Raw genomic sequence first — 24,878 nt, 5'->3', positions numbered from 1 at the left:
ATGTGTGTGTGTGTGTGTGTGTGTGTGTGTGTGTGTGTGTGTGTTTCCTCAGGCCTGTTGAGAATGCAGCAGGGCTCTATGTATAACAGGAAAGCAATGTTTCTCCATACCATCTATTTTCTTATAAAGTGTTCATAGGTAATCAAAAGGAAATTAATCACAGTTTATAAGATGTTGTGGACTGGAGTGATGTTGTCACTCAAGGCTACTATGGGGGCTCCAGGAAAAGAAATCTAGAAAAGGATAAGACTGTGAGCAAAGAAGCAAAACCTGGGGAGCAACAGGGAGGGATGAGCAGGGGTGACTCAACCGGGAAGGGATTAAACCACATACCACAGAGAGTGAAAACGCTGTGCTCAGCAAAGAGGAGAACTTACTCAGCATTTCCCCCAATCCTCCCTCCAGAAGCGTGACTGCCAGGAAAGTTCACAATGTATCATCTCCAGCTGGGAACCCGAAAGAAGCAGGAGGACTGTAGACCACAGGTCCTGGGCACCATGTGTTTCCCCAGTTCCTACTCCTATTCTTCCCTCTCTGTCCAGCAAACCTGCTTGTTTCTGTCACCTGCCTTCCTGCCCTTGGGGTGAGAATGGATGCCTTGAACACTCAGCAGAGGGATGCTCTTTCAGAGGAGGAATGACTTCGTGTCATCTGACGCCTGAGCAGGAAAATCACCCCTGAGAAGAGGCTCCGAGACAGAGGGTCGCCATGGTTCCTGCCCCTTACATGTGCGGGGCTCCTGGCACATGCACACTTCTCCTCAAACTCTGTTTAGGAGAACAATGCTGGGTGTTGTCAGCCTCTCTCCTCCCTAGATACTGCTCTGTCATCAGCCTGAGCACAATTTCCCCATGAAAGGCGTTAATCTTTCTCTCAATTAGATCAACTTTTTACATGTCTTTGATGGATGACAGCTTTTCAGTGTGAAATTCTAGAAATAAGAAATGGGGTGATGGGGACAGTGAGCTCTGTGTGTGACTCACCAGGATGTTCCCTCTTATTCCAGGTGTACTGTCCCAGGTGCAGCTGCAGGAGTCAGGTCCAGGACCCATGAGGCCCTCAGACACTGCCCTCCACCTGTGCTGTGTCTGGATTCTTTTTTTTTACCGGTGGATATTATTTGAGCTGAATCCACCATCCCCTGGGCAACAGATTAGAATGGCTGGGGCACAGCTACCAGGAATACACATCATGATCACCAAGATCACCAAGATCATCATCAAGATCACCAAGGAATACACATCATGCACCCTCTACCCAGGTCTGCATCTCCATCAACAATGACTCAACCAAGAGCCAGTTCTCTGTGAGGCTCAGCTCCATGGCTGCCTAGGACATGGCTGAGTATTACTGTGAAAGACTCAGTGAGGAGGTGTCCTTGTGAGCCCTGACACAAAACTTGCTCTCAGGGCACTGAGGACCGCCAGCAAGACTCAGGACCGTGAGGGGGACTCAAGACCACCAGGGGAAGAGCAGGTTGCAGGAAGCACAGGGCCAGCCCCAGAGCAGGTGTGGGTGGAGATGAGAGGCTGGTTTACTGCCAGGGTGTGGGGCTGCCTCTACATCTACATGTTTCCTCCAGGGACCCTCCCTTATTTCATGATGCTGTGCCTAGCTCTACGTCTCTGAAATACCACAGTTTTGTTGTACCAGGAGGAAACCTTCTCACAGGCACTAAATGCGGAACAATCCCTCTGCCAGTGGTCACCAGGGTCACAGCCCTGTGGAAGCTGAGGGGAACCCAGTGAGTCTTCTCCAGTCACACTCAGGACAGGGACCTTAGTGGGGTTCCCTGAAGAAAGCAGTATTTAGGAATTCTAACCTCAGCCAAGAGAGAGGCTGGGCCAGGGTCAGTGTCAGGTAGAACCTCACAGGATTTACGTCTGACCCTTCTCCTGACACTAAAGTATGCAAATCTGTATCAGCACTGATCTGGGGCCCCTTTTGCTCGTAGCCCATTCTATTTCTTGTTAGTTGTGTTTGTTGTTGATTTTCCTTTCGCTGTTCCTGATCCCTGTAAAGTGGAGATGTGGTTCTTGCTGTAAAAATTCCAGGGCTCAAGCCCTTTCCCTGCAGCTCAGGTGGGGCTCAGACTGTGGCTCCTGCAGCCACGTGGGAGAGGCTGACGGGACTATCTTCTCTCCCGTTGCTCAGAACCCTCCAGTGTGTTGTGTGGAGACTCACCTGGGAATGCAAGTGACCAATAGTTGTGAAGGGGATGAGCTTGTGTGGTCAAAATGGGATGTGGATGTGGAATTTATCCTGTGTTGTGCAAACTAACACAGGTTCACCTTCCTCACCTGTAGTGTTAGAAAGAGAGTGGGAAAGTTGTCAGAATCAAAATGGAGCCACTTGTGTTAACACCCTGACAAATGAAACTAGGAATGACCATGAAGGAGGGTTCTTAAGCCCATATTCTTGATAACAAGAACTATCATAAATAGACTCTGCTTAACCACAATCTTGGGAAGAAGACACCACAATCTTATAAAGAATTACTTTTGCAAGGACATCATCCCAGACACTGCCAGTTCAACCTTACACTGATGCCACCCTTGATATTGATTCTACAACTACAGGATCGTTCTCTCAAAACAACTTTTGTAACCCATCCCATTTTCACTTCATAAACCTATGAACTGATATCCTGGATTACTGCTGCGTTTGTTGATAACGTTAAATAATAAGGCCTTTTGACAATGTTTGAAGCTGCTTTTCTCTGATGTCTCTTCTAAAATAAAGAATTTCCAAGTTAATGACAATAAAAAGATAATTAGGAAGATTTGGTGGGAAGGCATCTTTAACATCCTGTTGAATGCTTCTGCATAGCACATGAGTCCCCTAAAATACTTTGCTGTATCTGCATTTAATGAATCAGAGTCTAATATTGAAGATGTAATTGAAAATACATGGGCTTTTGATGAATCAAGTCATACGGTGATAATGTTTGTGTCCTTGAGAAAGCAGACCCTGTGTTGTAAGTTTTAGCAGATTTACCTTCGGCAAAAAAGCTCATGTGTTTCTGAATGTTATGCGACTTTTAACTTAACGATGCAACATATGATTCAGTTTTATTTAGAACTTTCCAGAAGATTTTTGGCAGTAAGGACAGTGCAGCATTTGAGTAACACTAAGGAGCTAAAAAGAGTTATTTTGTAATTGCTCCTGTGAGGTATGCACATCGCTCACTCAGTATTGAAATTCAAATGCCACAGATGGGAAAATCAGAATAAGGAAAATTTTATGAACTGGCATGGCTGTAGTTTTTGTCAAGCAAGTAATTCATGTCTGCAAGAAAATACATACAACAATAAAACACATTCAAGTCCAGGGGGAGGCTGACCTCTGCCCTCTATATTACAAGTACAAGGTGGTATCACATCCAAATTATTTTTCAGACTCCAGGGTATAAAGCGCTTTTGGACGGTGAAGCTAACAGCTCTCCCCTCAGGTGTGGCTGAGGTATGTGGAGAATGCAGAGTTGTGTTCATGAAGAAGATTACATTATTGTGTCTGGAGACAGCTCCCCAGGGTGTGTCTCAGATGTCAGACATGCGTCTATAAGTCAAGCAAAGAGAACACATTGAGTCCAAAAATCAGCATATTCTTACAGGCACCCATTGCTCCATCACATGGGTGAGAAATTTTTGAGACAAGTGAAGTGTGAGTTCACAGTAAGTGATGCAGTTATCATATTTCCATGAACTTTCATTAACAAGGCAAGGACTTCTCTAGATCACTCATACACAAATATACAAAATGTATTTTTGCATTTGCGAGTGTCTAGAGAAAAAAGAATCTGTTGAGAAAACTTCTTCAGGTTACAGAGATCTGTTTAAGTTGGAGATCTCACAGGAGTGTGTCTTTGAGTGAATACTGGCCTATTAATTAAATAGGTCAAAATTCCCTCTGTTGGAGTAGCCTTCCGATTATGTAGATTTCTTTATTGCTTCCTGAGTTGTGAAACATAAACCCAAGCATTGACTTACTGGAATTTGACTGCTGTGTTGATAAAATTTCTGATATGGTTTCTTCCAATGATTTAAGAATAGCTTTCCCCTTTCTTTACTCCAGGAAATGAATTTTCACAAGGTCTCAGGACACCATATTTCAGGTGCTTTAGTTAAAGAGACTGACTTCTTGGGGGCAGGCCTCTTTCTTCTAACAATGAGCTCACTTCTTCTGCAAAGCATTCAGTCTGTGGCTCTATTGCCATGAATCATGAAGATTTTACACTCCAATGCACTAAAAATAATGCCTCTTCAATTAAATTTCCATTGGCATTGACATGAATTGGCCACTCTTGGATGTGTGTCCTATGTTATGAGCCCAACATGTCAGCGGACTGAGAATCCTCTGTTAGCTACTTCTGTGTGTAGCACTGAGCAGACTAACAATCCTCAGAGTCATCCATGAAGGGAGTCCTGAGGTTCCTGGGGTTCTTGGAGACATTCAGGTGAGTTGAGAGGAGAAACAGGATTGTGGGCTGCCAGCCATTTCAACAACAATGGGAGTCATTACCATCTAAGTGTAAAGTCTACATCATTCAAAATATCCTCCATGACAGGCTGATAAGAAGAAATCCAACCACACAATGGCTCCATGGCAGCTCTTTAGTATATTTGGGAGTGAGGCTTTTTTAGGGAAGAAATGTCCACTCCAGTGTGTCCCTGATGCTGCTCTCAGCTAATGTAAACAGTGAACTGGAACCAAGATTCTCTGAGATCAATGTGAGGATTAATGCTGCTCCAATGTGTTTAAACAAGCATGTGGCAATTTAGACGAGCCTGGCTGTGTGGTTTGTTATATGTAAATCTGAACTAAATAAACAGAAAGGGCATGTCTGAACTAGTGTGAGGGTGAGAGAGCTCATAGACCCCAAACTCGTTTTTATTTCCTCCTGGAACCTCCAGGTCCTTTGGTACCTCCAGGTACTTTGTCCATGCATCACAGGCCTGAGGGCCCTGGGCAGGAGGTCAGGAAGAGAGGATGACCAGACAGCTGGGGAAACCGGGATGAACAAAGCCAGTTTCCTTCCTGGTGAGGAGGGGCAGGTCGAAGCCTCGTGTCCCTGTAGGGATGAAGCACACTCACCTGCCCACTGCTACCTGCCAATCAGGTGACCTGCAGAGCAGCAGCTCCTGAGTCACTGATGGTGACTTCCTCCTCCTCCAAACCCTCTAGGATCTGTGCTTCTCAGAGTAGGAACCCCAGCAGGTCCCCAAGTTTTCAATGGATTCACCTAGCTAGTGTCTCTCCTCAGCCCCATCCCCAGGCTCCTGCCCTGGTGCTGTGTACAGTGTCACAACAGGAGTGACAGTAACAGCTGGTGCCTGCACTTTCCAGGCCAAGAAGTTTGAAAGAAGCAAGTCACAGGGCCAGCCGGGATATGGGGTAATCACACAAATTTCCTTCTTGGGGGAAGTGCTGGGAAACATCCTTGAGTCCTCCTCAGCTCACATGCGGCTGCTGCTGTTCATCCCAGTGTGGGGGACACATGAGCCCTCCCCATGCCCAGGATGGAGCTGTTTCAATCACAGCAGGATGGGAATGTGTCTTCTCTATGGGGGCTTTTGGAGCACAGCTCTCCTGTTCCTGAGATTTGAGATTTATAAAGACAAGTCCCACAGAGTGGACCTGCACAAATAAGACAGTACAGGATCCTCAGGAGAGACATCCCATAAGAGAAGGGACAGGCAGGTCCCATCACAGACGCTCATCCTCAGAAACCCTGACCAGCTACTCACCTTCACAGGTCCCCAGTTCCTGATCAGTGCCTGTGTCTGCTCCTGAGAAGAGATGAAAATTCAAGACAAATACTTCTCATGATCATAGGCTTAAAAATTCTCAACGTAGGAAATCAAATCCAGTAGTTTATCAAAAAGTTAACACACTGCAATCAAGTAGGCTTCATTCTGCAAATGCAAGGCTGCTTTAACTGCTTTCCACAGTGCTTGGACTAATTCACATTCCATCCAGCACTGTACAAGTGCTTTAACCTGTGCAAAGCAATAAATGTGATGCTCTACTAAACAGAATCAAAAGCAAAAACCATGTGAGTATTCCAGCAGATGCAGGAAAAAAGCTTTCAATAGAATCTAACAACGCTTCATGATAAAAATCCTCAAAATTATAGACATTGAAGGAGCACACCTCAATCTGATGAGCCGTCTATGACAAACCCATGGCCAACATCATACTGAATGGGCAAACACTGGAAGCATTTTCCTTAAGAACAGAAACAAGACAAGGATGCCCGCTCTCACCACTTCTATTCAGCCTAGTACTGGAAGTATTCACCAGATCAGGCAAGAGAAAGAAATAAAAGGCATCCAAATAAAAGAAAAAGAAGAATGCAAACCCTCTGTTTTCACTGATAATATGATTCTATATGTAGAAAATATTGAAGGCTCTGCCAAAAGTCTCCTAGTATTGATACATTCGTTTAGGAATGTTTCAGGATATAAAATCAATGTACGAAAATCACAGTAACCTTTCTAGTCACCAACAACGTTCTGGCTGAGAGTGGAATCAAGAACATGCTCTCCCAATAGCCATCAAGACAGTGGAATACCTAGGAATAGAGTTAAGCCAATGAGATGAAATATCTCTACTAGAAAAACAGCAAAACACATGTGAAAAAAATCAGAGATAAAACAAATAAATGGAAAAATAAACATTCCATGCTTATGAATTTAAACAATAAATAATATATGAAAAAGTTTTAAAATTTGTGATTAATTCTACGTAGCAATGCCATTTTTTTCAACATTTACAGAATATTGTTGCTGGTAATAGCAGTTTAGCATTTGAGTAATGGAAACACCTTACAGAATCACTTTATAACAGTTGCTTCCTGTAGTGGGTGTGCTTCAGTTACCTGATGAAAACATCGGCATGTCACAGGTCGAAAACATAAAATATGTCTATCAACTGAGAAGGTTGTAGGCTTTTGTCAAGTAATTACTTCAAGTCATTCAGAAAAACAGCAGACAGTAAACGAAACTTGTTCAAATTCCATGGAGAGTCAAAGCTGAAGAAAATCCAACTAAAAGTGTCCAAAGGCCCCCAAGGCTCAGTTCCTCGGCAAGTCCCACCTTCACAGGTTTTCCAGAATTTTGTTTTTAACTGATTTACACTGAGTGAAGTAGATTACCAGGAGTTTTCCATTATTTTAACATAAAATCGGGGGCTAAGTGTTGTTATTTTATAAAGACATCTTTGAATCTCTCAGGAAATTTACCTCCTGAGGGTTCAGATAAGATCCTACTCTAGGTTAAGATTACATGTTTGGCGCAATGAACTGGTACAAATCTTACTTTAGCTTTCATGTTATCTATTTTTCCGCACTGACTTCCACCTTTTTATTAGTCAAGTATATGGGATGGAAGAGTGCTTCTAAGAGGTCCTTAACTTGCCCATTTCAATGGATTTTCAAGAAGACATGAGAAACCACTTCGTTTGCAAAGCATCCCAAAGCCATGTCCTGCTCCAGAAACGTGATCTCATTTCCTGGTCGTTTCTTAACTGACACGCTCTAATCAGTGCATCTGGGCCAATTTGAAATGAGGTGAAGAAATGTGTCCTAAAGTAAAGCTAACATTGTAATAGGAATTCGTGTTTAAAAACATTTAGTTTTATTATTGGGCAGGATCCATCAACATATAACAGTTGAAGTTTCTCAACAGGAGTTTAATAAATATAAGGAATGTACAGAAGTGTTTCCTAATTTAGATAAAATGTAGTGATTACCTAGGCTGTGAGTGAAATCTTGGTAATCTGCTATGTCCATGCCCATCACTCTGTGCACCTCAAACTAATTTTGACCTCAGCAGAAACGAGGTTAATTTTCAAATTAGTAATTTTTTTCCAATTTAATTTATTTAGATGATTATGAATGACTATTTTAGCAGAAAGAGAATCAAGGAAACTTGAACTAAATAACCAGAATTTAAAATGACAAACAATTCAACAAGATGCCAGGATGTGAGTGGCTCCAGGCCCAATTAGTTCAAAACTTTGTGTGCCCAGGTTCTGTATTTTCCTAAAATTGCACATCTCCAGTCCAGCTTCATGCCACAGTCGACTCCCACCGTGTAAGACATGGCGACAGCATTCCCAAAGGTCGTGTGCAATTCTGAAAATGGAATAAGCAAGGTGAGGAGATGATAGTTTATATTCTCCTCTGAGGAGGAAGAATTGCCTCAACAGACCACTTCTCCTGCATCTGTGACTAGAACTATGTCACAGGCACACATGGAGCAAAATCCCTCAAGGGGATAATACGGTAACATTAATCAGGGTGATCATTTTTTTTTTTTTTTTTTTTTTTTTGAGACGGAGTCTCGCTCTGTCGTCCAGGCTGGAGTGCAGTGGCGGGATCTCGGCTCACTGCAAGCTCCGCCTCCCGGGTTCACGCCATTCTCCTGCCTCAGCCTCCCAAGTAGCTGGGACTACAGGCTCCCGCCACTACGCCCGGCTAATTTTTTGTATTTTTAGTAGAGACGGGGTTTCGCCGTTTTAGCCGGGATGGTCTCGATCTCCTGACCTCGTGATCCGCCCGCCTCGGCCTCCCAAAGTGCTGGGATTACAGGCGTGAGCCACCGCGCCCGGCCGATCATTTTTAATACTATAAAATTCATAGATGACACTGCATTCCAGCCTGAGAGACAGAGCAAGACCCTGTCTCTAAGAAAAATAGAACAAATCAATAGATACTGATACCAACATTTTAGATAATGAAATTTTCATAACCTAATTTTAAATACGCTCACATCATTACATAAATCTTCCCGGAAATATTCCTAGTCATGTTGAGTTTCATCAACTTTTCCAGTGTTCAAATCTAGAAATCCAATAGACTCTTGAGGATAAATCAAAATGAGGGCAGTGAAACTGGTATCTGTTCAGCACCTGTTAACTCAGGAGGACTCAATACACCCTGGCACACTGCTGCTTCTCCGAATGGCTCACAAGGATTCCAGCTCTCTCTCCATCCTCCTCAAACATCTGACCGCACTTGCCCTAAGTTCACTCTCTGCTCTTAGTCTGTGCTCTGAAGTCTTCCCAGAGGTGAAAGTGAGCTGTCAGATGGAACTTCCCTCTCACCTCAGCGTGGAATTTACTACTACATTTAACTATCACTCTTTCCATAATGGTTGATTTCTTGGTCTGTTCATTACAGACCAAAGGCATCTGATTTGAATCTTTATTTCTTTGCATTTGTCTCCATGACAATTTTGGGAGGTTTTACCACCAGCACTATGACACGATGTAGTAACATGACACATTTGTGGTTAACAACACCTACAAATTCAGAAGCTCTTCGGTTCTCTTCCCAGCAAATATAGCTGCTTCCTTTCTGTGTATGAACACATCCTGGAAACCCGTACACACCCACATAGATATATACATGGCTATGACATTTTCTTCTCTGTAAGTGAAAATTAACCTCAATTTCATACGAAGTTCATCATTTCCCTGAAGGTGAAGGTAGGTCGTTTTTCATCTATTCTAACAAAAGTCTCAGACACCAGCTGGTAAGTGAGGAGCTACCCTGCTTCTGGATGTTGGATCTGTCTCTTCCCCTTTGCTTTACCACAGAAGATTGGCCACTTGTCCAGGTCCCAAGAAGAGAGTCCAGGTTTGTCCTGATAATATGACTCATCCAACTTCTGATAACTCTACTGTTACACACATTCATGGAGGTAGCCTATTAATTACATAATTCACTAAACAAATACCAAATACCCACATTGCAATACCCCATACCCAAGGGTATGTTCATGCATTCAATGAAGGAAAAGGCTTTTCAGAGACAGATAGATCAGGCTAGATTGGTCAATATATGGGTGAAAACACTGGACTTGAATGTATCTGTTTTCCCCCATGTCACATGTGAGACCTGTCAGACAGGACCAGGGTTCCTTGTGCACTCAGAGGTGAGGGCTCACAGAATTCCTCTCTGGTTTCCAGGAAAGGTAACTGCAGTAATCTTGGTAATGAGAATATCCTCCAGTGCTGACCTATTATAGAGTTTACATATGAAATTTTCACTGCAATTCACAATCTACTCTTTCACACAGAAGTGTACAGAGGTCAGGACACATCCTCAGGGTCACACATTGAGAATGATGAAGATATGTCCCACGAGTTTTTCCTAAGGTCTCAGAAAGAATTCCAGGACTCAAAAGGTCTCAGAGGGCAGCTCCCAGTGCCTTAGTTAAAATGGTGGCTCAGGCCTGTAATCCCAGCATTTTGGGAGGCTAAGGCAAGTGGATCACCTGAGGTCGGGACATTGAGACTAGCTTGGCCAACATGGTGAAACCTTATCTCTACTAAAAATATAAAAATTAGACGGGGGTGGTTGTGCGTGCCTGTACTCCCAGCTACTCGGGAGGCTGAGGCAGGAGAATCACTTGAACCCAGGAGGCGGAGGTTGCGGTGAGCCGAGATCGGGACACTGCACTCTAGCCTGGGCAAAGGAGCAAAAGTTCATCTAAAAAATTTATTTTAATTTAAAAATTTTAAAAAAATGGCCCACTCCCTAGAACAGAGAGATTCCCTCTAAACATGATGGAGGTCCCGAACTATACATTAAGTGAATCCTGGTGTGTCTGAACTCACATGATTATTACGTTAAGCTGCTGTTCCAATCTACTTCCTCACCTGGGAAAAGAGGAGCCAGGGCATGGCTAGTTGAGGCCCCAGGAAGAGAACTGAGTTCTCAAAGGGCAAAGCAAGCATCCTCATCCCAGGGCGAGCCTAAAAGACTGGGGCCTCCCTCATCCCTTTTCACCTCTTTATACAAAGGCACCACCTACATGCAAATCCTCACTTAGGCACCCACAGGAAACCACCACACATTTCCTTAAATTCAGGGTCCAGCTCACATGGGAAATACTTTCTGAGAGTCATGGACCTCCTGCACAAGAACATGAAACACCTGTGGTTCTTCCTCCTCCTGGTGGCAGCTCCCAGATGTGAGTGTCTCAAGGCTGCAGACATGGGGGTATGGGAGGTGCCTCTGATCCCAGGGCTCACTGTGGGTCTCTCTGTTCACAGGGGTCCTGTCTCAGGTGCAGCTGCAGGAGTCGGGCCCAGGACTGGTGAAGCCTTCGGGGACCCTGTCCCTCACCTGCGCTGTCTCTGGTGGCTCCATCAGCAGTAGTAACTGGTGGAGTTGGGTCCGCCAGCCCCCAGGGAAGGGGCTGGAGTGGATTGGGGAAATCTATCATAGTGGGAGCACCAACTACAACCCGTCCCTCAAGAGTCGAGTCACCATATCAGTAGACAAGTCCAAGAACCAGTTCTCCCTGAAGCTGAGCTCTGTGACCGCCGCGGACACGGCCGTGTATTACTGTGCGAGAGACACAGTGAGGGGAGGTGAGTGTGAGCCCAGACACAAACCTCCCTGCAGGGAGGCGGAGGGGACCGGCGCAGGTGCTGCTCAGAGCCAGCAGGGGGCGCGCGGGGCCCACAGAGCAAGAGGCCGGGTCTGGAGCAGGTGCAGGGAGGGCGGGGCTTCCTCATCAGCTCAGTGCTCTCCCTCCTCGCCAGGACCTCAGCTGTCCCCAGGCCTCCTCTTTCTTTATTATCTGTGGTTCTGCTTCCTCACATCCTCGCTGCAGGCAAGAAAGAAGGGAGAAATTTCTCTGTTTACCATTAAGGTTTTAACAGTCACTGGCACCTTTTTTTCAACAAATTCCCACAAGGCCCATTTTACCTTCTTGAAAAAATATTTCAAGGCTTCCCACCATCTCTTGATTGGCGTCATCGGCTGCATCGTGTCCTGCTCTTAAATTCATGTGATGAAACCCCAATCCCAGTGGCTCTGTATTTGGAGAGAGGGATTTTAAGAAGGCAAATAAGTTAACTGTGGTCATAAATGTGGGACCCTAATCCAGTAGGACTCTTGTCCTTATGGGAAGTGGAAGACATCAGAGGCCTCTCTCTCCACATGCACACAGAGGAGAGGCCATGTGGGGACGCGCTGCATGAGAAGGTGGCCCTTTGCAAGCCTGGAAGAGGGCTCTCAAAAAACTAACCCTTTCTGCACCCAGATCTTGGACGTCAAGACTCCAGAACAATAAGAAAATTAATATTTGTTATTTGAAACTACCTAGTCTGTGGTATCTTCTGATGGAAAGCCAAGCAGATTCACAGATACAATTGTGTTAGCTCCGTCTCCTGGAGGGAGAAGCAGCCCACCGAGGCTGACACATCTCTCAGATTATTTTTATAAAGAAAAATAGATCCAAGATGAAAACCCCACCACATTTCTGCTGAGTCATTCACTTAGCAGGCTTCTCTGAGATCAGCCCTGGGGGGCTGTGTTCTAGGTCATGTCTCTCACTTTCCACTATGAGAATCCATGTAGATCATGAGAACCAGCCAGATGGAGTCCTGATCCCGGCCCACCTTCTGCTGCTCCCCAAGTATCCCAAAGAAAACCACTCCAGCGTCACCCCTGTGTCTTCTACTCTCTAAAATCCCACTAAAGCTGACCTTAAACCAGGAGATATTTGGGGCCGGGCTCTTGTTCTCTTCTTCTTAGTCTTCCATAAGGTCCAGGTGCCGAGTAAAGCCTCAGTAAAGATTGAGCTTCAGTTCCCCTAACCCACATCATTCCCTTACATCCTTGTCATGCATCTGTCCTCTGTGGGCACTCAGGGCAGGTTACACAGGAATTGCCTGAAGCTGGCCTCAACTGATGTGCTGAGACCACGGGTCATGCACATGTATGATTCCAGGTCATGCAGGCTCTACTGCAGGACAGACCTGTGTCCTGTGGGGCACAGACACCTGCTGACCCCGGGTCTCCTCTAATAACTCACACACCTGGTGTTTGTGTGTGTCCAGATGGCCCCATGAGCACAGCACACTAGGGTGGCCAACCTCACAGGTGGGGCCGTCAGATGGAATGGACAGGCTGGTCACCCCCATCATCAGTGATTTCCCAGTGAATTTTAAATAAATTAAACAAAATTAACAACAAAGGGGAAGGATGTGTACCTGTCTCTGGGAGGTATACAGGGTCCCAGAACTGTGCTGGGAGTGGGTGTGAAATGCCCTTTTGTGTAGAAAGCCCTCCAGCATGAGTGAAAGCTGAAGGAATGATCACTGTGCAGGTGGAGGATGATAGGCAGCTGGCAGGGTACATTTCCTGAAGCTGTTCCTGGGTGCATGATGGTTGGATGGCCCATGGTGATGAGGGCTGGACTCACATAGGAACAAGGAAATTATCCCATGGGAATGGCAGAAAAGAAAACGGAGATGGACACCCCTGGAGACAGCTTATTAGATTTGGTGGAGGAAAAATAGAAATTTATTCCAATGACCCCAGCATTTTCAGCTAAATATGAGTTGCATTAATAGACAGAATTATGAAAGGAAGGGAGAAGGAGTTTATGGAGGGAAAAAAACAGAAGATAAATTAAAATTAAAAACTATGCAAATCTATCAATTGGCAGATAACAGAGTGGAGCTGATGCAGCTACTTCCTTGTTCTGGAAACCTGCCAGAGACACTTAGCATTCCTGTAAGGCCGGTCTAGTGGTGATGAACTTGTCCACTTTTTACTTTTTTGGGAAACTTCTCAAACCTCCTGCATTATTGAAGAAAAGCTTTAATCCATGTAACATATTTATTTGGAAGTTTCTTGGCTTTGTTTTTATTTTCAGCAACTTGAATAGAATCGTGCACATCATGATATTTCGGTGAACAACAGGCCACCTACAGGACAAAGGTCTCATTAGATTATAATACTGTATTTTCACCGCATTTTTCCATGCTTAGATATGTTCATCTGTATAAACATCTACCATGGTGATTCAGCTGCCCACAGTATTCACTACACTTACATGACATACAGATTTGTTACCTAGGAGCACTATGCTATCCCACGCAGCCTGGGTGTAGCAAGGTATTTCATGTAGGTTTGTGTAAACACACTCTATGATCCTTGCACAATGACAAATTGCCTAAGGACACATTGCTCAGATGTATTCCTACTGTTTTTCATTTTTTTTTAGATGGAGTCTCACTCTGTCACCCAGGCTGGAGTGCAGTGGCACAATCTTGGCTCACTGCAACCTCCGCCTCCCAGGCTCAAGCGATTCTCCTGCCTCAGCCTTCCGAGTAGCTGGGATTACAGGCATGAACCACCACGCCCAGCTAATTCTTTTTTTCTATTTTTTAGTAGAGATGGGATTTCACCATGTTGCCCTGGCTGGTCTTGAACTCGTGACCTACATGATCCACCCACTTTGCCCTCCCAAAGTGCTGGGATTACAAGCGTGAGCCACTGCGCCTGGCCAGTGTATCCCTACTGTTAAGCCACAAATCATCGTATCTCATCTCTCTCCCTTTTTTGTCCCTGTTAATATTTTCATGTTGTGCGTGCATTCTTCTCCTAGCTCAGTGAACATATTTATAAGGTTTACTTTGAATTTTCTGCTAGGTAATCAATGTATCTCCTTTTAATTTGTGTCAGTTTCTAGTGCTTTTTTTGTTAAATAATTTGGACCACTTTTTTCTGTTTTGTGATTATTGTTATTATTATTATTTTTTACTTTCTCTGTTGCTTTCTCCTCATTAGAAGAAAAAGCTACCGTAATCACTCTTCACAGAATATGCCCAGGGAAAATGCCATCACCTATCAACCCAGGCTGTCATTGTGGCATCTCTTAAAACTTCATAATGGTTGAAATTTTTTGTTGTTGTTGTTATTAGTGGCACTCAGACCTACAGAGGATTTTAAGTTTTGCTCCTACTCTAAATTAGGTGGCATTGAAATTCATCCTGCAGGCAGTCTCTGATAAAGTGGAGGAATTGGGCAGTTTTGTTATGCATATGGTTCATAAAAATAATATGAGTTTAAGGTTTTCTCAGCCAAGTGCTATATCCTGATATTTTATAATCACTTCTTTGAATCTCTCTTGGGTTTATCTTTTGAAAATTTAGATCAGAATATAAACCAGGTTTGAGGCTTTTTGTTTGGTGTAAACATCTCCTATAGGTCATTGCGTGAAAAGGCACAGAGTCTATCTGAGGAGGAGAACTCAGGGAAGCCTCACAACAACAGGGGAGACAAAACCGAGGTCACTAAAAAAATATGAAGCTTCTGGCTCCTGCAGCCTCCAGACATGCCCCACACCCTCTCATTGCACACAAATGAATTCCTTTCTCTTTCCTGAGTGATCTTTGCCAAGATTCCTCTCCTCCACTTTGACACTTTGGTATATCCATGTGTGTCCATTCTGGTTCAGCCAGGGACACAGAACCAGGAAGACATCATGGCTTTTCTAGAGGGAGCTGGCTTGGGGAATCAATGGTTGGAGTAGAAAGTGTCTTTGTCCATGTGTCACAGCCCTGAGGGACACGGGAAGAAGGTCAGGAAGACAGGATGACCAGACGGCTGGAGCAACCAGTATGAACAAAGCCACTTTCTTTCCTGGTGAAGAGGGGCATTTGGAAGCCTGGTGTCCCTGTAGGGGATGAACCACACTCACCTGCCCACTGTTACTTGCCAACGAGGTGACCCGCAGAGCAGCAGATCCTGAGTCACCGACAGTGGCTGCTTCCTCCTCCAAACCCTCCAAGATCTGTCCTTCCAGGAGTGTGAACCTCAGCAGATCCGCACGTTTTCAATGGGTCCACTTAGCTAGTGTCTGTCCTCAGCCCCATCCCTGGGATCCTGTCCTGGTGCTGTGTACACTGTCACAATAGTGGTGACAGTGACAGCTGGTGCCTGCACTTTCCAGGCCAAGAAGTTTGAAAGAAGCAAGTCACAGGGCCAGCCTGGATTTGGGGCAAACACACAAATTTCACTCTGTGGGGAAGTGCTGGGAAGCAGCCTTGAGTCCTCCTCAGCTCACGTGTGGCTGCTGCTTCTCATCCCAGGTGGGACACATGAGCCCTCCCCATGCCCAGGATGGAGCTGTTTCAGTCACAGCAGGATGGGAATGTGTCTTCTCTATGGGGGCTTTTGAAGCACAGCTCTCCTGTTCCTGAGATTTGAGATTTATAAAGACAAGTCCCACAGAGTGAACCTGCACAAATAAGACAGTACAGGATCCCCAGGAGAGACATCCCATATGAGAAGGGACAGGCAGGTCCCATCACTGACGCTGGTCCTCAGAAACCCTGACCAGCTACTGACCTTCCCAGGTCCCCTGTTCCTGGAACAGTTCGTGTGTCTGCTCCTGAAAAGATGCCCATCAAGAGTCCCCAGGGTTCTGCCCCCTTCCTTGATGTGCCTCTGGGAGTGGGGCTGGCTGGGCTGTGGGTCTGGCGTGACCCTCTCCACAGGTCAGCGGCTCAGTGCAGGCTGCACCGACTCGGTGGGGCTGGGCTGTGGCTGACCCTCCCAGGGGGAGCCTGGACTCTTCTTAGGGGTATCTGCAGGATCCCAGGTTCTGGGAGAACAGGGAAGCCACAGTGTGTGCAGGGCCCCATCTCCAGTAAAGTGTTTGCTGTCGCTCTGTTGACAAGGGCATATCCCCAGGCCTAGGGGCACTGTGGGCGCACGACCAATGCGCGAGACACAGGGAGTAAGGCACAGTTCCCTCCCATTACTGTGAGGACACTAGACACAGTGTGTGTGTGTGTGTGTGTGTGTGTGTGTGTCCATTACTGTGGGGACTCTAACCACCGTGTGTGTGTGTGTGTGTGTGTGTGTGTGTGTGTGTGTATTAGGAGTTTTGCAGTGGCTTCTGAGACCCATGATTTTGTAGGTTTAGAAATTATCTGATGAGATGTTCATCCACAGGAACCGACAAGAGATTAGGTGTTCTCCCAAAGCCCCTGGAAGCTCCTGGACTCACTGTGAGTGTGGACTGATCCAGTGCTTCCGGAGCGCCACAGAAGGGGCTCCCTGGTGGTTTCATAGAATCCTTGCTTGGGGTGTTTCTGCAGAGTTCACTGGCTTTTTCCTACGACCAATTTACTATTGCAAGCGATGGCGTCAGCAGCACATGGTGTCACGTGTCACTAAAGGAGCATTCTGAGCCAGGACACAGCCACTTCATACTGGGGGGAAAATGCTCTGGGAGCCCAGACAGGAGCCTCTCTGCAGTGCAAGGGCTGGGCTGCAGGGGGCGCTCAAGGCCCACCCAGCACAGGCTCCAGCCCCAGAGCAGGTGCACAGGAGGCTGCGGATGGAGTCCCCTTAAGATCTGTGTCATTCTTCTAAAAAAATCTAAAATAAGTATTTGACAAAAACTGCTGAAGAGTCCATAAATATCCTATTCAATTGCAAGAATTTATCAATTTACACTGGAGATTTCTAACCCTGCTACATATCTTAATAGTAAGCATCTGGAGGTCAATTAAGCTTTTATTTTATATAAATAAGTGCAACTTTTGGAGAAACACACTCATCCCCCAAATAACACATTCATGTATTAAAGCCTAGAAATACTTTAAATTACCTCTGAGCTATTCAAGTGTGGGTTCCCAGTGAAGTCCTGTTCTAGGGAAAATTGTTCTCCAGTGGGAGAAGCTCTGTCAACATACAGCTTAGGGATATGGCAGGGCACACATGGCCTCTAAGGGGATTATAGCTTGAACCCTTAGCATCCTCCTGTTGGGTAATCCATGTGTCATCTCTCCACTCTTTCTCATGCTGTGTTAGGTATGAAATAGCATCGCTCATGAATATGCAAATAACTGAGATGACTATAGATATCTTTGTGCCCTGAGAGCATCACCCAACAACCACATCCCTCCTCAGAAGCCCCCAGAGCACAACGCCTCACCATGGACTGGACCTGGAGGATCCTCTTTTTGGTGGCAGCAGCCACAGGTAAGGGGCTGCCAAATCCCAGTGAGGAGGAAGGGATCGAGGCCAGTCAAGGGGAATTCCATCCACTCCTGTGTCTTCTCTACAGGTGCCCACTCCCAGGTCCAGCTTGTGCAGTCTGGGGCTGAGGTGAAGAAGCCTGGGGCCTCAGTGAAGGTTTCCTGCAAGGCTTCTGGATACACCTTCACTAGCTATGCTATGCATTGGGTGCGCCAGGCCCCCGGACAAAGGCTTGAGTGGATGGGATGGATCAACGCTGGCAATGGTAACACAAAATATTCACAGAAGTTCCAGGGCAGAGTCACCATTACCAGGGACACATCCGCGAGCACAGCCTACATGGAGCTGAGCAGCCTGAGATCTGAAGACACGGCTGTGTATTACTGTGCGAGAGACACAGTGTGAAAACCCACATCCTGAGAGTGTCAGAAACCCCAGGGGGGAAGCAGCTGTGCTGGCATGGAGGAAATGACAAAGATTATTAGATTGAAGACTTTCTCAGAAAATGATATTAAGTCATTAAGGAAAAGGAACAATATAAACATGTATTTGAGAAATTTTAATTATTTGAGAGATTTTTCATACAATATTTATTCTGCAAGCAAATTTCAGGGATTGAATTAATAAAACTGATACAGAACTTCCTCTGTAGGTATCTGTGTAAACATCAATTTCTGAATCAGTGTTGTAAATATTTTGGAACACACACACAAATCACATTTTATCTCTACTTTTATCTCTATTATTAAAAATGCCAAAAAAACTCATTTTGTGCATGTAGCATTTTGAATTCCCACCATCAATGCATGATAGTTCTTGGTTTTCCACATTCATATTGCCATTTATCATTATGAGAATTGTGTGTTTTAACCATTCTAATAGGTGAGTAATGGTATCTAATTTTTAGTTAAATGCACATTTCCGTAATAAAAATTCACATTTAACAATTTTCATATAATTTTTGCCGAGATGCCTCTTCTCATATTTGGTTCATTTTTAACTGCATTGTTTTCTTTTGATTAGTTGTAAGTTTACTTGCATATTGATTATAAAATCATTTAACAAATTAAAAGAATTCATTTAACAAATATGTGACTTGGAAGTATTTTCTCCAAGTCTGCGGCTGTCTTTTACTCCCTTATCAGTATGTATTGCAGAAAAGTGTGTGTGTGTGTGTGTGTGTGTTTATACAAATTTAGATTTTAAAAATGTAAAATGTTATTCATCCACAGATCATGTCTTTGGTATTATATCTGAAATCTCATTATAAAATACAGTAATATCAATTACTTTTTCCATGTCTCTAATCTCAGGCTACAATCATCTCATGAGTGTTTAAGCTTCACCTACTTGATTGGAGGACTATCAACCTAACATATTTGGAATACTTCTGTAAAAAGATGTGTTCCTCTTCCTATTATTTCTTTATTTGATCACTTATTAATATGTGTATTGGTTTATGGATGTCTATTTCATACTCTGAAGAAGATCCATGCTACATTATTCATTTTATTTTTCAAACCACCATGGCTTTATTATGTGCTGGGAGCTCATTGAGTTTGGATCCTGCATCCTTACAGCTCACCTCATGCTTTTGTTTTTGAACACTTCCCTGTTTCCTGCTATTATAATAAATTCTAAACTCATTTTCTATATTATCTTTTTCATACATAGAATCAGCCATTTTTCTAAAGATTGCTTGCTTCTGATGTTAAAGAATAGTATTTAAAAAATTGTAATACTGGGTATGTGCATTGTTAATGTGGTATAAGTACTTGCAGGACCTCTCAACCAACTGGCCTAGTAAACTATGTATCTAACCTTCTGTAATGTGATTACATTAAAAATGAGAACACACTGGTCTCTCTACCCAATTATGCTACCACATGGATCTTTCTAGCCTTCCTTCCTTGACTGTCTATAACCTCTCACTGCAAAATGAGGAACCCCATCCAACCATATGCCATTTTATTACTTAGCTGCACAATTTCAGGACACATGCATAGCAGTATCAGAAATGTAAAGCTGTACCCTTGTAGGAAACATGTTTATCTACTAGAATAGAGTGCTTATGTTCAGTTTCTTTACACTTTAAACTTACAGAGTTTCCTCATTTTCAAAGTTCCTTAGGTCAGCAACTTCATTTTCCACTTTCTTCAGTGAAGTCATTTCAATGACACTGTATAATTTGATTTATTTGAAATTCTATAAAAGCCAAAACTGTAGTCAAGTAAACAACAACATATAGAGGATATTCGAGGAGTTTAGAGACTGGGTATAAAATAAGTTAAAAAGACACTGTTTAAGAAGATTAAAATTATTTTTAGTGATATGCAATGGTTCAGATATGACACAATTAATTTGTCTAAGCACATAGTTTTGTGATGGAAAATATAAACCTAAATATATACAATTAAAAAAAATTTAGCAGTTCATTAACCCAAGGATCAAATGCAGATTGTATAAAATTATCTCATTACTTATTTTGTGAGGGTGGAGATTTCATGAGATGTATGCAACAAAGAATGAGGTAATTTTCCTGATTTGCATATAAGATGTTGCCATTCACTAAAGACCTTTAATTTTTTAAATTTTTTTTTAAATCAATTTTCTATGTGACCCAGGTTTTTTCCTCTTGACAAGCAAATAACCGACAGGATTATTTTCTTTCCTTGGTTGAGAAATATTTCCCCAAACTTCAGCTCAGTTCAGGCATACACTGTCCCTGAATGGGCATTTACCCTCAGATGGGTACACACATCTGTCAACATGTGGACTCTTCTGTCAGACAAACGCACCTTTACTCACGTGGATTCTTCTCTCAGACAAACACACATGTCCCCACGTGGACTCTTTCCTCAGACTACCACATATGTTCTTACATTTACTCTTTCCTCAGAAAACAGACATTTCCTCATGTGGACTCTTGTCTCAGACAAGCAAACATGTCTCCATGTGAACTCTTCACTCACATAAGTACACATATGTCCACATTTACTGTTTCCTTACACAAGTACATATATCCAATGTCGAATTGTTCTGTGGCAAAATGATCTCAAGATAATGATAATCATAAACCCCCTCCCTGACAAGGCGTAGATCTGTATTTTTTTCATTGTAACCTAACTTTGCCTTATTGTCAAGAACAGTAGTTTGCAGCTCTAAATATACCAATTAGAGACAGGTGTCCATTTTCTCTGGAAACGTATTTTTATGTTCTTACTGGACATATTTGTTGATAATGTTTGCTATTATGAAGATACCCCAACAGTGTCCACATTAGAGAATAAAAAAGAGTAATGGGCAGATTAACTCTGTGCATCCAGACCCAGAAATCCTTTGACCTTGACTTCCCTGAAATGTAGACACAGAGGATGGATGAGCAATGCTGAGCAGTGCACCCATGACCACAAAAAGAAAGACGTGGAAATGTGTCCCCTCCACTTCTCATGAAAGGCAGCTCATCCCCTGTTCCCTCAGGCCCTGGCGAGGAGCCACCCCATGTCTGTGCCCTTCCTCAGTGTCCACACCGTGGGGTCTGCATTGATCTGGATTCCCTTCTCATCCCCGTCAATATTAGTGTCCTTCGTAAATCAGGTCCAGCTGTGGCTTCTCCTCACGGGGCTGTTCTCAGTCTGTTTTCTGTGTTCACGGAAGTCCTGTGTGAAGTTTACTGATGGAGTCAGAGGGGGAAAAATTTTACAGCCCAGTGGTGAGACTCTCCTGCAAAGCCTCTGGTTTCACCTTTACTGGTTACAGCATGAGCTTGGTCCAGCATGCTTCACAACAGGGATAGGTGTGGGTGCCAACAGTGAGTGATCAAGTATGAATTCTCAGGGTTACTCTCCATGAGTACAAATAAATTAACAATCTCAAGCAACACCCTTTTAAGTGCAGTCTGCCTTACAATGACCAATCTGAAAGCCAAGGACAAGGTCATGTATTACTGTGAGTGACACAGTGAGGGAAACCCTGTGTGAGCCCAGACACAAAGCTCACCGCAGGGAGACAGGAGGGGACTATGTGGTAGATGCTGCTCAGAACCACCAGGGGGCACTCAGAACCATCAGGGAGGGTGCACAGAACCACCAGGAGGGGCTCAGGACACCAGGGGGCGCTCAGAACCACCAGGGGGCACTCAGGACCATCAGGGAGGGTGCACAGAACCACCAGGAGGGGCTCAGGACACCAGGGGGCGCTCAGAACCACCAGGGGGCACTCAGGACCATCAGGGAGGGTGCACAGAACCACCAGGAGGGGCTCAGGACACCAGGGGGCGCTCAGAACCACCAGGGGGCACTCAGGACCATCAGGGAGGGTGCACAGAACCACCAGGAGGGGCTCAGGACACCAGGGGGCGCTCAGAACCACCAGGGGGCACTCAGGACCATCAGGGAGGGTGCACAGAACCACCAGGAGGGGCTCAGGACACCAGGGGGCGCTCAGAACCACCAGGGGGCACTCAGGACCATCAGGGAGGGTGCACAGAACCACCAGGAGGGGCTCAGGACACCAGGGGGTGCTCAGAACACTAGGAGGTGCTATGAATCACTAGGGGGCGCTCAGGACTCAAGGGAGCACTCAGAACCACCAGGGATAGCTCAGGACACCAGGGGGCACTCAGAACCGCCAGGGGGCACTCAGGACCATCAGGGAGGGTGCACAGAACCACCAGGAGGGGCTCAGGACACCAGGGGGCGCTCAGAACCACCAGGGGGCACTCAGGACCATCAGGGAGGGTGCACAGAACCACCAGGAGGGGCTCAGGACACCAGGGGGTGCTCAGAACACTAGGAGGTGCTATGAATCACTAGGGGGCGCTCAGGACTCAAGGGAGCACTCAGAACCACCAGGGATAGCTCAGGACACCAGGGGGCACTCAGGACCATCAGGGAGGGTGCACAGAACCACCAGGAGGGGCTCAGGACACCAGGGGGCGCTCAGAACCACCAGGGGGCACTCAGGACCATCAGGGAGGGTGCACAGAACCACCAGGAGGCACTCAGGACACCAGGGGGTGCTCAGAACCACCAGGAGGTGCTCAGGACACCAGGGGGCGCTCAGAACACTAGGAGGTGCTATGAATCACTAGGGGGCGCTCAGGACACAAGGGAGCACTCAGAACCACCAGGGATAGCTCAGGATACCAGGGGGCACTCGGAACCGCCAGGGGGCGCTCAGGACACTAGGGGGCGCTCAGAACCACCAGGGGGTGCTCAGGACACCAGGAGGCACTCAGAACCGCCAGGGGGCGCTCAGGACACTAGGGGGCGCTCAGAACCGCCAGGGGGCGCTCAGAAGAAGCAGGGGGTGCTCAGAACACCAGAGGGTGCTCAGAAGCACCAGGGGGCGCTCAGGACACCAAGGGGCACTCATGAGACTGTGGCAAGGGGGTGCTGAGAACCACAGGATGTGACCAAGACACCAGGGGGCACTCAGAACTGCCAGGGGGTGCTCAGGACACCAGAGGATTCTCAGAACCACCAGGGGATGCTCAGGAAACTAGCGGGTGCTCAGAACCACCGGAGGACACTCAGAAAACCAGGGGATGCTCAGGAACCACCAGGGGGCGCTCACGACACCAGCGGGCAGTCAGAACCACCAGGGCATGCTCAGAACCACCAGGGGGCGCTCAGGACACCAGGGGATGCTCAGGACACTAGGGGCGCTCAGGAACCACCAGGGGGCGCTCACGACACCAGTGGGCAGTCAGAACCACCAGGGCATGCTCAGGACCACCAGGGGGCGCTCAGGACACCAGGGGATGCTCAGGACACCAGGGGTCGCTCAGGAACCACCAGGGGATGCTCAGGACACTAGGGGGCGCTCAGGAACCACCAGGGGTCACCCAGGACACCAGGGGTCGCTCAGGAAACCAGAGGGTGCCCAGGAAACCAGGGGAGGTTCAGGAACCACCAGGGGGCACTGAGGACACCAAGGGGTGCTCAGAACCACCAGGGGGCGCTCAGGACACTAGTAGGCACTGAGGAACCACCAGGGGGGGCTCAGGACACCAGAGGTCGCTCAGAAAACCAGGGGGTGCTCAGAACCACCAGGGGGCACTCAGGAACCACCAGTGGGTGTTCAGGACAGCAAGAATGGCTCAGGACACCAGGGAGCACTCAGGACCTCCAAGGGGCTCTTTGGAGGCAGCTCCATATCAGGTACCTGGGGAGGATGAGGTTTCCTTTTCCACCTTGGTGATTCCTGACCTGGTCAAGCAAAAGTCTTCCCCAGGATCTCTTACGATGTCTTCCTTGTAACTCATGGTTTCTTTCACCTATAAAACATTAACTTAGAACAGGGGTTCAATTCAACTTTTAACTCTGCCTATTTTCAGAGTTATACTAGCAATGATATATCTCAGTATATTTTTTTTAATTGTGTATATTCAATCCAAAGTCTGGCTCTATGCACAATTTTTTTGTTTTCTGTGCTGTCAGACACACTATTGTAAATGCTTTTCTAACAACTCAGCATATGCATGGGGTCCAGTTTCTTTTCCTTTCATCGGCTGTTTGTGCAGATGAAACACCACTTTAAGGGCTCCTGTCCTCCACTTTGGCCCCTGGTGTTCTGCTTCTCAAACTTTCTCCATCTTCTCTTTTTCTGTCAAAATATTTTATCTTCCTCAGTCTCCATGCAGGAAACAGGAAGTCCTTTTACTTCCTGTCCTCCATGTCTGGTAAATCAGTTCACTTCTTTTCATGATCACTGAAGCCAACCAAGTTTAGGAGAGTAACAGTTCTCCTTAGAATACACTCTACCTGCAGACCCTCTGCCCTCATCACACTTTTCTAGGGTCCTGCAGACATAACCCCCACCCATTCCTCTTTTTCCCTAAGTACCACAGACTAGGCTCTGCAACTTATGCTACCCTCTGTGTGCTCAGCCCAGGGGCTCAGTAGTGCTTTCATGAAGTCCAAATCCCTAATGTGTTTGCCCAGTCTCAGACCACCCTCCAGCAAGCTGCCATTGTGATTGAATCCTGCAAAGCATGGGCTGCTTTCAGTTTCCTATTGCTGGATGTTCTTTATTATAAAGGCATATTGGCAAATAACGACTAGAGTTTGTA

General features: G+C 45.7%; 1 pseudogene, 2 gene segments (V, D, J or C) and 1 further gene; all 4 read left to right on the top strand.

The window, feature by feature from the left end:
• Positions 1-24,878, top strand: part of IGH (immunoglobulin heavy locus) — a 1,293,408-nt gene that overhangs the window by 856,552 nt on the left and 411,978 nt on the right.
• IGHV4-4 (immunoglobulin heavy variable 4-4) lies at positions 10,937-11,371 on the top strand. The segment is given in 2 exon segments: positions 10,937-10,982; positions 11,065-11,371. Coding segments are annotated over 2 exon segments (353 nt in total), but the record flags the coding sequence as incomplete, so codon positions are not given.
• IGHV1-3 (immunoglobulin heavy variable 1-3) lies at positions 17,761-18,198 on the top strand. The segment is given in 2 exon segments: positions 17,761-17,806; positions 17,892-18,198. Coding segments are annotated over 2 exon segments (353 nt in total), but the record flags the coding sequence as incomplete, so codon positions are not given.
• On the top strand, positions 21,458-21,759 carry IGHVIII-2-1 (immunoglobulin heavy variable (III)-2-1 (pseudogene); annotated as a pseudogene). The gene is given in 1 exon segment: positions 21,458-21,759. A coding segment is annotated over 1 exon segment (302 nt).

This window comes from Homo sapiens, chromosome 14 (assembly GCF_000001405.40).
Source record: "Homo sapiens chromosome 14, GRCh38.p14 Primary Assembly".
Taxonomy (NCBI): domain Eukaryota; kingdom Metazoa; phylum Chordata; class Mammalia; order Primates; family Hominidae; genus Homo; species Homo sapiens.
The sequence above is the reverse complement of the archived record's forward strand: the minus strand, read 5'-3'. Positions and strand labels throughout refer to the sequence as shown.